Below are 14479 nucleotides of genomic sequence, written 5' to 3' on the forward strand. Positions count from 1 at the left end.
CACCCAAGCTGGAGTGCAGTGGTGCTATTATGGCTCACTGCAGCCTTGACTCCCTGGGCTCAAACAATCCTACCACCTCAGCCTCCCGAGTAGCTGGGATTACAGGCATGCACCACCATGCCCAGCTTATTTATTTATTTATTTATTTGTTTGTTTGTTTAGAGACAGAGTCTCACTCCGACACCCAGGTTAGAGTGCAGTTGTGCCATCTCAGCTCACTGCAACCTCCACCTCCTGAATTCAAGCGATTCTCCTGCCTCAGCCTCTGAGTAGCTGGGATTACAGACATGTACCAACATGCCCAGCTAATTTTTTGTGTGTTTTTAGTAGAGACAGGGTTTCACCATGTTGGCCAGACTGGTCTCAAACTCTTTATTATTATTAATTTTTTTTTTTTTGAGACTTTTCTCCTCCAAGATCCTCCCTCTCTTCATGTAAGGTGAAGGGGTGGAATTGCTACAGTCCTACCAAGCAATGCTCAGTGAGATCTGAGATGACTCTAGACAGGAAAGGGCAGTCCAAACTCCTGTGGGGCCTAGTAACTGTTCAGGAGCCCAGAGCCCAGGGCCCCACTCCACCTGGCATGCTGCATGCTTGGTGACCAAGGCAGGCCTCTGCCCTGAACTGAGTGAGTGCCTACTCTCTGTGGCTGGTCCAGCCTCTCAGGGTGGAGAGTCCTGCACTCAAAAAGATGCTGAGATGAGCTTTTACACCATGGGACTTACCCTGCACATATTCAAGTTAAATTTCAGCTGCCATCCTTGCCTGAGTCCCAGAGGAGATCAGTTTCATCTGGAGTTTCTCATAGGCCGCCCCCCACACCTTGGCCTTGGCCAGCTGAAAAGTGTTTAGATCAATAGCAAGCCTCATCAACTCTTTTCCACCCCCAACCCTTACTAAGTGCATCAGACAACAGAAGCCCCAGGGCTGACCTTTGCAGCATCCATTGTCATAGCAGTTATTACAGACACAAATAATAGGTAGTATAATAATCTGTGGTTAAATGTCCTTTAACCAGAGGGCTCAGAGCACTCTGGGAACATTACCTCATGCCCCTCCTGACACTCCTGCCCACATGCCTTTTCTTCAAGACCCTCAAGTCCCTCTTCCAGCCTCCTGCCTTCTGGAAAGCCCTCCTCCACATTTCCTCTAACTCCATCTCAGCACAGCTTAACAGCATGGTTCCCAGGTCTTACCCAGGAGCTGCCCTGAGTGACAGCCTCATGGAGGAAGTTGTTCAGGTCTCAAAGATCTTCTTATCTCCCACCATGGCCTATAATCCTGAGCATGTCCCATCACTGACCTATTTTCTATATGCTCAGAAGCAAGAATTATTAACAGTGGATGTGTTGAAGTGTTTTCAACTACTAAAAATGGGGGAAATAAGATAAATATAATTTTGAAGCTGGTAAGGGGCTTGCTGCAGTTGTCGGTCCTCCCCATTTCTGGTTGGCCACAGGTGCAATTTGCAGACATCATCTGCAAATAAAAGCTTTCTTACAAAATTCTTTCCCTTAAGGTACATGTAAACTTGGTTTGTTGGATGCTGCTATTCGTTTCTTTCTTGCTTTCTTTCTTCTGCTTCTTTCTTCCTTTCTTTCCTTCCTCCCTTTTTTCCATCATCTAAAAATCAGAATTCCTTTGAGCTGGAGCTGAAAAAAAAGAATGAATGAATGAATAAATAAATAAGAAAAAAGAAAGAAAAATCAGATTACATTTGCTGTCATACCAGAACTACCCAGTCTATGGCCAAGAAAAAGTTAACCTATCCCCCCACTGGGAAACTCTAAAACATTTTAGGAGCCACAGAAGATCACAATGTGTGGACCCATCAAACAGCTTTTCTTGAATTGCTTTGGAAATAAACCTGCAGGGAGGAGGCAATTATCTGGAATGAGAAAGGAATGTACAAGGAGGTGGGGAGAGAAATGGAGATTAAAAAGACCTAGTCTTTTTCATATCCAGAGGCACCTGACTTAGAAAAAAAAATAAGTCAAAATAAAAAATAAAAAAAAGACCTAGTCTTTTTCATATACAGCCTTCTCTCTGAAACAATGGTTGTGGCTTGACAGCAAAATGGAAATAATGTGGGTTCTGAAATATTTTCAACTCTTTAAAAAGGAAAGGACTGGCCAGGTGCAGTGGCTCACGCCTGTAATCCCAGCACTTTGGGAGGCCGAGGTGGGCAGATCACCTGAGGTCAGGAATTCGAGACCAGCCTGGCCAACATGGCGAAACCCTGTCTCTACTGAAAATACAAAAATTAGCTGGGTTTGGTGGCACGCATCTGTAACCCCAGCTACTCAGGAGCCTGAGGCAGGAGAATCGCTTGAACCGGGGAGGCAGAAGTTGCAGTAAGCTGAGATCGTGCCACTGCACTTCAGCCTGGGAGACAGAGTGAGACTCCATCTCAAAAAAATAATAATAAAAATAAATAAATAAGGAAAGGACTGTAGAACAGGGAAGGCCAGTGCCTGTGTTTAACTCATCTGTGAATATCCATTTGCGTAGCTCCCTGTGAAAGAATCAGAGATTGTAGATCCAGGCATATACTGGACGAGGTGGGGAGGGGGCTGAAGTGGGAGCTCTACCTGGACAAGATGAGCTGCAGAATGCACGAAACATGGGGAGAATGGAGCGGGCAAGGAGAGCAGAGCGAGAATGAGCAAAATCCAGGTGCTGCTGTTAGAGAGGTAAAGGCAGTGCACACCTGAGTCATGTCAATGGCCCATCATCAGGAGAGCACGCTTTAATCCAAAGCTAAATTGGGAAGAACCTAGAGCCCAGAAGAGAAACACTCTGTTTTTTCAGGCTTCTCAGGGGCTGGAGACAGCTAATCATGAGTCTAGGAGTAGCCCCTTGAGGGTTGGGTTCTCAAGGAGGGTCCTGTGCTTGAGAAAGGGAGTTCCCAGAAAAGGCTATATAATTTAATAAATTAAACTCACTTTCAAGTCTTGCTCTACCAAGGACACTGACACTGACCTTGAACAAGCCATAGAACTTTTTTCAGGGCTGGCCACATATGCAGTGGCTTTGACGTGAACATTTTCTTATCTGTAAAATGGGAAGATTAGCAATATCTGTGAGACAAGGTGTATTAGGGTGCTTCTGAGAAACAGAACCAATGGGATGTGTGAGGGAGAGATTTCTTTTCTTTTCTTTTCTTTTTTTCTTTTTTGAGACAGAGTCTCACTCTGTCTCCCAGGCTGGAGTGCGGTGGTAAGATCTCAGCTCACTGCAACCTCTGCCTCCCAGGTTCCAGCGATTCTCCTGCCTCAACCTCCCAAGTAGCTGGGATTACAGGTTCGTGCCACCACACCTGGCTAATTTTTGTATTTTTAGTAGAGACAGGGTTTCGCCACGTTGCCCAGGCTGGTCTCGAACTCCTGACCTCAGGTGATCCACCCGCCTCGGCCTCCCAAAGTGCTGGGATAACAGGCATGAGCCACTGCATCTGGCCACATCTCTGTGTTTTCTAATTTGCTGCTTCTAGTCTGCCCAGTTTGGTAACCAGATAACCAGGCTTGTTAGGAAGGCGTGGAAGAAAGGGAGAGGTATTAAATCGACCAATTCAATGTACCTCCAAATTCAAATTGGAGCCCCGGAGGCAAATTACAAGGAGGCAGATTTTGGCTCAGGCTAAGAACTGAGGCCATGTCTTCATGACCAGCCTATGTACCACACACGATGAGCAGTTTGTGTAAATTTTTATTGAGTATGCCTAATTTTGCCCACCTCGAGGACTTACCTAGTTTAGTTGACTTTGCTACAAATAGTTTTTGGCTGTTTCCAGAAGTCAAATCCATTCCCAAGAGTTATCTCAGTGCCACTTCCTATAATAGCAAGTTCCCTAACCTCTCTGAGTTACCCAGCTTCCTGCCTATGAAGGTCTTGGTGATCACTCATTTGCCACACTGTGGAGAGATTTCAATGAAATAATGAAAGAGTGTGACAGCTCTGGATTGCACTGGCTGAAACTGATCAAAGCTATACCCTTACGACGGCAGTGAGATCTTAAAGGACTGCGTTCATTCCCGGCTCTGAAAGTCATTCTAACCCTGGTTTTGAAGTCAGATGACCTGAGTTCAGCCTTATCACCCAGTAGCGATGTGACTCTCTGAACCTCAGTTTCCTCATCTGTTATTGAGGCTGTGAAGGTCAAATGGGCTAATACCCATAGGCCCCTTAGCACAGAGCCTAACATTTGGCAGACGCTCCATAAATGTTGATACCTTTGTTAATTACCCTTGAAATAAACCTATAGCCTACGTAGGTGATGATTTTGAAGGGAATGCTTATTTGGATATGTAAGTCTGGAGCATTTGTTATGAAACCAGCCCACCAGTCTGTGGTCATAGCTCACCCATAGGTTCTTTGACTTCCATTCAAGTCCAGGTCCCGGGCTCTGGGAGTTCTGCTCCTGCAGAGCTTGTCTGGATGTGAGAACAGAAGCCAAGGGAAGTATTTGCTTTGCAACAAAATAAAACAGGGGACAAGGATGCATTTCTGGAGGCGCTCACCATTTTACAGAAAGGAGTCATCTGTTTCTCATAAGGTGGGGTGTGGGAAGTGGAATCTATTCTCCTGGCCTGTCTGGAGTAGCTCCTTACTAGTCTGGCCACAGCTCCTGCAGGTCAGGACCAGGCCCCACCACAGCCAGGGCTACACTTTGAAAACGGACTTGAATTTCTTTTGGGTCTTCAAAGGTTAGGCTGGAAGCCTCTCCAGTTGCTCCCATCCTCTCCTCCATAACTGAATGGATATGTGTGCGCCTGGATGTGTGAAAGCACGGAAGAGTGGGAGGACATTGTGGGGGAAGGTGTCCAGGTGAGGCCTCAGTTCCTGGCTCTGGAAAAGACTACATTCACCCTGAATTAACTTTCTAAAGGCTTTTTAAGCTCTCCAGTTCCTCTCTGTGGGACTCAAGAAATCACTTTCCTGATTCAGCTGAAAGGACCAGCCTGGTTGCAGAAGCACCCACGCAGAACCACATCTTGGACCATTATTAAAAAGGAAAAGGTGGCTGGGCATGGTGGCTCACAGCTGTAATCTCAGCACTTTGAGGGCCTGAGGCAGGCATATTGCTTGAGCCCAGGAGTTTGTGACCAGTCTTGGCAACATAGCAAAACCTCATTTCTAAAAAAATTAGCTGGGCATGGTGGTGTGCACCCGTAGTCCCAGCTACTCAGGAGGCTGAGATAGGAGGATCGCTTGAGCCCAGGAAACAGAGGTTGTAGTGAGCCGAGATCACAACATTGCACCCAAGCCTGGGTGACAGAACAAGCCCTGCCTCAAAAAAGAAAAAGGTGGGAGGTGGGGAAAGGTGCTTTTCTATAGAAGTTTTGTTTCTACCTTTTGAGGCTTCGAGTTTATGATTTGTTCCTAGCATATCACCATTTCATTCAATTTCACTTCAAAAAACAAAAAAGGCACCCACAGTTTAGAGTTTTTATTTTCTTCCTTTATTTATTATTTTGCATTTATTTTGTTTTTTATTGAGTCAAGGCATGGACTAAGCGAGGTTCAGAAGCCCTACTGAATGCTGATGTTCCCAAATGCTTCCCTTAGGCTTCTTGATGCTGAGGGGGACAGATCATGGTAAGTGAGGCAGGAAAGCCCCCTCCCCACCCACCACCCACTCCCCAGCCATTCAGTCCCCACCCCTACCCCCAGTAGAAGGGAAGCCAGCTGGTGGAGGTGGGGTGGGGAAAGTGGAGTTGCCACAGCTTGTTGCAAATGGAAGATGGATGTCAGCGGCTGTCAGTACCACATCTCTCAGCAGCCTCAAATTACTGCCCCAGGATTTATATGAAAAGAGATGGGAAGTGTGGAGAGACAGAACTCATAATACTTGCAGGTTAATAAGGATTGTGTGTCTGCTTCCCTGAGGAACTCCTGACCTCATTGTTATGCCTCGGAGGGCCAAGGGAAGGTCTGGTCAGGTGGGCTTATCTGCCTTTGCCAAGAATGCACTACCCTCCCAGAAGAGGACAGGAATCTAACATTTCATGAGCTCGTCCCATGAGCCAACATTGAGCTAAGAGCATCACACATTCTCTCATTAAATATTCACCACAAACATGTGCAATACGTGTTATTATCCCAGAGGAGGGGCACCTGAGACTCAGGCTGTACATTGGACAGAATAGGTTAGGTTGTGCTGCAGTAACAAACAGTTCTAAGAATCTCAGTGGTTTTACACAACTGGTGTGTATTTCCCCTTCACACAGCCACCTTCCAAGCAGGGACTCAGTGATCCTGGTTGCTGTGATCTTTGGGTCTCCCAGTGTCAACACAAGGCCTCCTCTACAATTGCCATGAGAGGGGAAGAGAGAGAATGGAGAATCATGCATGAGTGTGTTTCACTAGCCTGGAAGTGAACTTCATCTATCATTTCATTGGTCAGAACTAGTCCACATGGCTCTACTCAACAGCAAGGGAGCTGAGAGGTACAGTCTCCCATGTGCTGGGAAGGGGAGGAGGTCTATTGGTGAACCAAGTTCTGCCTAAAGCCAAAGCCCGAGGTCTGTCCATGACACTCAGGGCCAATGAGAGGAATCCCTTCCTTCCAGCCTCAGCCAGCAAGCATTGTGTGAGAGTGTCCCTTGAGTGACTTTGCTGGGCACACTTGAAGTCATCACATTACAGCTGTAGGCCCTTGTTGTTCCACAAAACCCCACCATCTTCAAAGCTTTTTAATTGTACATTGGTTCACCAAATCCCCAAAACACCACAAGGAAGTGGGCAGGGCAGTTATTCATAGGCCCCCTTTTCTAGCTCAAGAAACTGAAATCAGGAAGGTTACGAGACTTGACATGCTCAGGGCTAGCAATTGAAACACCCAGACTATAACCTACGTCTTTGAAAGCTTCCCAATACATCCAACTTTCTGTAATTTTAGAATCTGAAAAGACCACTCTTTCCCTCAAAAAATATCTCTTTGACCACCTTGCTAATGCCTAAAATTCCACCATTGAAATGCCATGCCTTCGGTGGACCCTCCTCTACAGGAAATGAAAGTAAGAGGGAAGTCATCATTAATGTGCATTAAACAATTAAACTATAAAATCAAATAACCTTAAGTTCAAAAACATTTGAGATAGAATTTAGAGAATGTGCTGTTTTATGATAACCTCAAAAAGAAAAAGAAAAAAAAGAATTTAGAGGCCGGGCACCGTGGCTCGCACCTGTAATCCCAGCACTTTGGGAGCCTGAGGCAGGTGGATCACAAAGTCAAGAGATCGAGACCATCTTGGCTAACATGGTGAAACCCTGTCTCTACTAAAAATACAAAAATTAGCTTGGCGTGGTGGCAGGCACCTGTAATCCCAGCTACTCAGGAGGCTGAGGCAGGAGAATCGCTTCAACCCAGGAGGTGGAGGTTGCAGTGAGCCGAGATTGCACCACTGCACTCCAGCCTGACGACAGAGTAAGACTCCATCTCAAAAAAAAAGAAAAGAAAAGGAAAGAAAGGAAAGAAAGAATTTAGAGAACAGAGAGATCAGAGTGAAAGGTCCAGTCAAGGCAGGCTCTATTGAGAATCTGCTGGCCCTGGTGAGATGTGGATGGAAGATGGAAACTCTAAAGTCCCTTTTCTCATCCTTTTGACCCCTGCATCCCACTCCTCAGGGATAATGACTGCTAACAGTTGGTCACATGATATATATTCATTTTGGAAAGGGAAACTCCATTCCAGATGACAATTCCCTCCCAATTCTCTTTCCTCTATTCTATCCTATTGCATTCAAAAATCTGCAGAGTGCCTTTCTGTTTACTATTTTGTTTAATTCTGTGAGCAATTCTACTAGGAAATTGAGAGGTTGGGTGGATCTCTCTTCCTGTATGACAAAAAACTGAAACCTACCGAGGCTAAAGTAACTTATCTAATATCAGAGCAAACCAGTGACTGAACTTGAATAAAGAAGCAAAAATGTCAAAGAGTAATAATCATCAATCTTCATGAGCATGTGGTGAAGCTGCCACATTTATAGCTACCTGATGATGTAAAAATTAGTAAATTTTGCCAGGCGCGGTGGCTCACGCCTGTAATCCCAGCACTTTGGGAGGCTGAGGAGGGCGGATCACAAGGTCAGGAGATTGAGACCATCCTGGCTAACACAGTGAAACCCATCTCTACTAAAAATACAAAAAAAAAAATTAGCCGGGCGTGGTGGCGGACGCCTGTAGTCCCAGCTACTCAGGAGGCTGAGGCAGGAGAATGGCGTGAACCTGGGAGGCGGGGCTTGCAGTGAGCCGAGATTGCGCCACTGTGCTCCAGCCTGCGTGACAGAGCAAGACTCCGTCTCAAAAAAAAAAAAGAAAAAGAAAAAGAAAAATTAGTAAATTGTGTAAAACCCACAGCTGGCCAAGTGTGGTGGCTCACGCCTGTAATCCTAGCATTTTGGGAGGCTGAATCCAGAGGATCACTTGAGCCCAGGAGTTCCAGACCAGCCCGGGCAATGTGACAAGACCTCATCTCTACAAAAAATACAAAAATTAGTCTAGCGAGGTGGCGCGTGTCTGTGGTCCCAGCTACTTAGGGGGCCGAGGTGGGAGAATCACCTGAACCTGGGAGGTCAAGGCTGCAGGGATCTGTGATCATGCCACTGCACTCCAGCCTGGGCAACAGAGTGAGTCACACACACACACAAACACACACACACACACACACACAATAAAAATAAAAAATCCAAGGCTTTATTATAAAATATTTAGTATATATAACATAATTTGTGTAATGCATATATAGTATTTAGAATAATAAAACAACATTATTTACCACCCTGCTTATTACCAATGTCCTAAAATGCTACGTCTCTTTAAGTTATAAAAATAATATGTGGCCAGGCGCAGTGGCTCACGCCTGTAATCCCAGCACTTTGGGAGGCTGGGGGGAGGCAGGGAGTGCAGATCACTTGAGATCAGGAGTTTAAGACCAGCCTAGCCAACATGGCAAAACCCCATCTCTACTAAAAATACAAAAATTAGCTGGGCATGGTGGTGCACGTCTATAATCCCAGCTACTCGGGAGGCTGAGGTGGGAGAATCACTTGAACCCAGGAGGCAGAGGTTGCAGAGAGCCAAGTTTGAGCCACTGCACTCCAGCCTGGGCAACAGAGCAAGACTCCATCTAAAAAGAAAAAAAAAAAAAGTTATGCCCTTGGTAAAAAAAAAAAAAAATCAAGTCATACAAAAGATGGAAACTTTTTAAAATTTATTTATTTATTTATTTATTTATTTTAGAAACCGGGTCTCACTCTGTCACCCAGGCTGGCGTGCTGTGGCGCAATCATAGCTCACTGCAGCCTCGACCTCCTGGGCTCAAGCAATGTTCCCTCCTACCTCAGCCTCCCAAGTAGCTGGGATTGCAGGTGTGAGCCACCCTACCTGGCTCAGAAGATGGAAACTTTAAAATCCCTTTACTCATGCTGTTGACCCCTGCATCCCACTCCCCAAGGATAATGACTGCTAACAATTAGCTACATGATATATATTCATTTTGGAAAGCAATCCACCAATATATATTGAAAGTCATAAATATGTTTGTAACTTCTGGTCCTATTACCCACTCCGGGAATTCATTCCAAGAAAAGACCTCCCAGTCTTCCCTCCTTTTCTATAAAAATGGTCAAGTTCATTCCCACACAAGTCTTTCTCTTTGCTGTTTTCTGTCTGGAAACCTGTTCCCCTGGATTTGCTCATGATCTGATGTCCAGTGAGGTCCAGCTCAAATGCCACCACCTCTGAGAGGCCACCCACGGTCACCTGTCTATACTTGTTCCCTCCCCCCTACATCACTGCCTTTTACTTTACCCTGCACTAATTTTTCCTTGCATCTACCATTCTCTGAGGTCACCTTGTTTAATTGCCAGTTCACTAATTTGTTCTATCTCCTCTCCTACCCCATCATAAGTCCCTTGAGAGAGGGCCTTTGTTGCCTGCCTTGCTGTCTGCTGCGCCCCCAGTACCTGGCACACAGTAAGAATGCAGGTCGTAGTTGAAAGGATATGTCTGTTCATGAAGCTACTCAAGTAAGGGATGTTATTTGACTCACCTCGAAACCCAGGCAGCTACTTCTGCAGAGAAATAGTTCTTGCAGGCTTCCAAGACCCTAAGGAACCACTGTGTGGGATGTCAGACAGGCCTAATGGCCATGCCGTCATTTCTCCCAACAGAATGGGTGCCTTTCAGATGTAGACGCAGCAAAGCCAACAGTCTGTCCTCTCTCTAAACCCTCTTTATTCTTGGCTTCTAAAACAAAGAAGAGGTAAAGAAAATCCACGGGGCCAGGGCTCTGTCAAAGAACACCCAGGCTGCACTTAATTAAGATGAATAATTTAAAGACTCTCAAGTCAGACAATGGAAACATTAAGAGTTTCCACCAAAACATAAACTTGGCCAAGTGGGCCAGGTCTCCAGAAGCCTCCAAGGACATTCTCAGAAATGGAGGGATGGTGTCTTGCTTAGCCCGGGGGTGGGGAGTGGAGTTTTGGGTGGAGAGAAGGTATGAGAAAGGAAAACCTGAATTCTCATCTGGGCTCCACAAACACATGCTAGGTTGTTTAGGCTGTGTGACTCTCCCTAACTTGTTTCCTTATAATGAAATAAAACATGTTGGTGGGGCGTGGTGGCTCACGTCTGTAATCCCAGCACTTTGGGAGGCCGAGGCGGGTGGATCACACGGTCAGGAGTTCGAGACCATTTTGCCTAACATGGTGAAACCCCGTCCCTACTAAAAATACGAAAAAATTAGCCGGGCGTGGTGGCGGGTGCCTGTAGTCCCAGCTACTCGGGAGGCTGAAGCAGGAGAATTGCCTGAACTCGGGAGGCAGAGCTTGCAGTGAGCCGAGATCGCACCGCTGCACTCCAGCCTGGGTGACAGAGCGGGACTCTGTCTCAAAACAAAACAAAACAAAACAAAACAAAACAAAAACATGCTATGTAGATTAATCAAAAGAAAAAGCAAAACCTTACATAATCCTACCATCCAGAAAGGCAGTATTTTTGTCGTGTCGCCTTGTAGTGGTTTTTTTCCTAGCATAAATATACTTTATCACAATAAAAATGTGATTTACTATATATTGCCTTACATATTGCTTTTTTCATCTAATAATATGTTGTGAACATTTTCTTATGCCATTAAATACTATTCGACATGTTTTTCTTTTTTTGAGACGAGGTCTCGCTCTGTGGCCTAGGCTGGAGTGCAGCAGTGCGATTTCAGCTCCCTGCAACCTCCGCCTCCCAGGTTCAAGCAATTCTCATGCCTCAGCCTCCCAAGTAGCTGAGACTATGGGCACGTGCCACTATGCCCTAATTTTGTATTTTCAGTAGAGACGGGGTTTCACCATGTTGACCAGGCTGGTCTTGAACTCCTGACCTCAAGTGATCCACCCACCTTGGCCTCCCAAAGTGCTGGGATTACAGGCATGAGCCACTGCGCCCAGCTTCAACATTGTTGTTTTTATGGTTGTGTAGTATTCCATTGTATGTATGTGGCTGGATCATCCAACCAATCCCCTGTCATGGGACATTTAGGTAGTTTCCAATTTTTATAAGTAGCACGGCAATGACCATTTGTTGTTGTTGTTGTTGTTGTTGTTGTTGTTGTTGTTGTTTTTAGACAGGGTCTCACTCTGTCACCCAGGCTAGACTGCAGTGGCACAGTCTTGGCTCACTACAATCTCCACTTCCCCGGCCCCAGCAATCCTCTCACTCAGCCTCCTGCGTAGCTTGGACTACAGGCATGTGCCACCACGCCCAGCTATTTTTTTGTGTGTTTTTTGTGTAGACACAGGGTGTCACCATGTTGCCCAGGGTGGTCTAGAACTCCTGAACTCAAAGCGATCTGCCCACCTCAGCCTCCCAGAAAGCTGGGATTACAGGTGTGAGCCACCAATGCCTGGCCAGCAATGACTATTTCTGAAATGGATACATGATTATTTCCTTTGAACTAATTCCCAGAAGTTGAATTTCTGTGTTAAACAGATACAAAATCCTAAGGGTTTCTATATGCAGCTTTTTTAGACAGCACATTTATTAGTTTGTAGAGCATGAATGAATATGGTCTGCTATCTTATTTTTTTGGTCTCTTCACCTCTATTTTTACTGAGCGTTGTGACGTTGAGTTAGGAACAATATACAACCTTTACATTCAAATGGGAACGCCTGCCTTCAAAGGAGCTTGTTTTTGTTTTGTTTTGTTTTGTTTTTAAAGGGAGTCTCACTGTCACCCAGGCTGGAGTGCAGTGGTGCCATCTTGGTTCACTGCAAACTCTGCCTCCCAGGTTCAAGCGATTCTCCTGCCTTAGCCTCCCAAGTAGCTGGACTACAGGTGCCCCCAGCATGCCCAGCTAATTTTTGTATTTTTAGTAGAGACGGGGTTTCCCCATGTTGGCCACGCTGGTCTCCAACCCCTGACCTCTGGCGATCCGCCCACCTTGGCCTCCCAAAGTGCTGGGATCACAGGCATGAGCCACCACACCTGGCCCTTGTATTTTAAAGAAAACTTTTTGACTTTTTGATCTGAACAAACATAAAACAAATCAATTAAACAGAAAAAAGATCAATTGATCAAATCAGCTAACAAGAGAAAATTAATAGAAGACCCCATCTTTCCTGTTTCTTCCATTGAAAACCTAGCCAGCTAATTACTTAATAATTTAATTTATCGAGTTTGCCACATAAGCATTTATATCTCATGTGCATTTTATGGCACATACTGATGACTGGCTATCTAACAGTCATTTCTAACCCCGTTCTCTATTTTCTGCTTCCTACTATAGAAAGTGAAAAAGCCAAAAATGCACTTTCTCAGGCTCCCTTGCAGCTAAGGGTGACCTGTCTTTGCTCAATGAAAACAAAGGGGATATCTGTTGCAGGAATTCTGGGAAAGTTTTTTCTTTTTCTATTGATTGGTTGATTGACAGGGTCTCACTCTGTTGCCCAGGCTGGAGTGCAGGCTGGTGCAAACTCATCTCACTGCAACATTGACCCCACTGGACTCAGGTGATCCTCCCACCACAGCATCTCAAGTAGCTGGGAATGCAGGCCCAGCTAGCTTCTGTATTTGTTGTAGAGATGGGTTTTTGCCATTTTGCCCAGGCTGGTCTGGAACTCCTGGGATCAAGCAATCCTCCCACCTCAGCCTCCCAATGTGCTAGGATTACAGATGTGAGCCATCACACCTGGCCTTGTTTGTTTGTCTTGTAGAGACAGGAGTCTTGCTGTGTTGCCCAGGCTGGTCTTAAACTCCTTGCCTCAAGTGATCCTTTCGCCTTGGCCTTCCAAAGTGCTGGGATTTGGGGAAAGTTTTTTCCCTGCCTGACAAAATGAGAGAAGTCACAAAACAAGCTCTCCTACCACCTCCCACCTGAGCTGTCTTCCCAACCTTTGAATCTCCTGTAAGTGCAGTATTCTAGGAGGCATGGCAACCATCTTTAATCATGAGGCAACAAGCCTAAGGAAACAAAACAAATCCTGACAGTGGTGAGTCCTCCACTATATCCTGGGGCTGCTGAGTCCACCTAGAGCTACCCTGGAATCTAGCTCCCAGATAAACATCTTTATGGCCTCAGGTAGTCGTTCTCAAAGTTAGTGGTTAAGTCAGCACATTATGATCCCGTGAAAAGCCTTTAAATTCCTGGTACCCAGGCCATACCCCATAGTAGTAAAATCAGTATTTCTGGGAGTGTTGGGGAGCTGCAGGGTGGTACCCAGGCATCAGCATCTTTTAAAATTCCCTAGGTAATTCCAAAGTGCAGCAAGTCTGAGGACCAGTGGCTTAAGCCAGTGCTTCTCAAACTTTAATGTGCATAGAAGTCACCTAGGAATTTTGGTAAAATACACACTGCTTCAGTAGGTCTAGGGTGGGGCCTGAGTTTCTGTATTTTTAGCAAGATCCCAGTTGATGGCAATGCTGCCAGTCCAAGGACCACACTTTGAGTAGCCAGGGTCACTGTTACCCTAAATGGACACAACCCAGCTGGTACATCCTTTTTCTGGATGCAAAAGTCACCCTCATATTTCCCAGGTGGGGCAGGAGTATCCTTCTGAGAATGCTGGGACAGCAGGAAGGGCTCCTCCCTGCCAGAGGTCCATGAGCCCTTCAGCATCACCAGTCCTCCACTGTAGCCAGTAGGTTCCTAAGTCAATGCACCACCCAGTGGTAAGGAAAGTCCCAGGTCATGAGCCTGTGGACTGCTGACATCCTGTCCGTCCTGTCCTGTGCTTGCTGCGTCAGCCAGGCCAGCTTTTCTGACCAGACCTACCCAGCCAGATTCAGCCTTCGGCTTTACCTAGAGCTCATTCTTTCTTTTGGGTCCTTCTACCACCAGCCTCTATCTCAGCTACACTCTTAGCTAGTAATCAGGAAGTAGCATTTCAGCTAGCATCTTTTTCTTTAGTTGCTATTTTCCATGATTCTAAAAAACAGCTTCCCGGCCAGGCACAGTGGCTCATGCCTGTAATCCCAGCACTT

The sequence above is a fragment of the Homo sapiens genome, chromosome 14, assembly GCF_000001405.40.
Source record: "Homo sapiens chromosome 14, GRCh38.p14 Primary Assembly".
In the NCBI taxonomy this organism is placed as follows: Eukaryota; Metazoa; Chordata; class Mammalia; order Primates; family Hominidae; genus Homo; species Homo sapiens.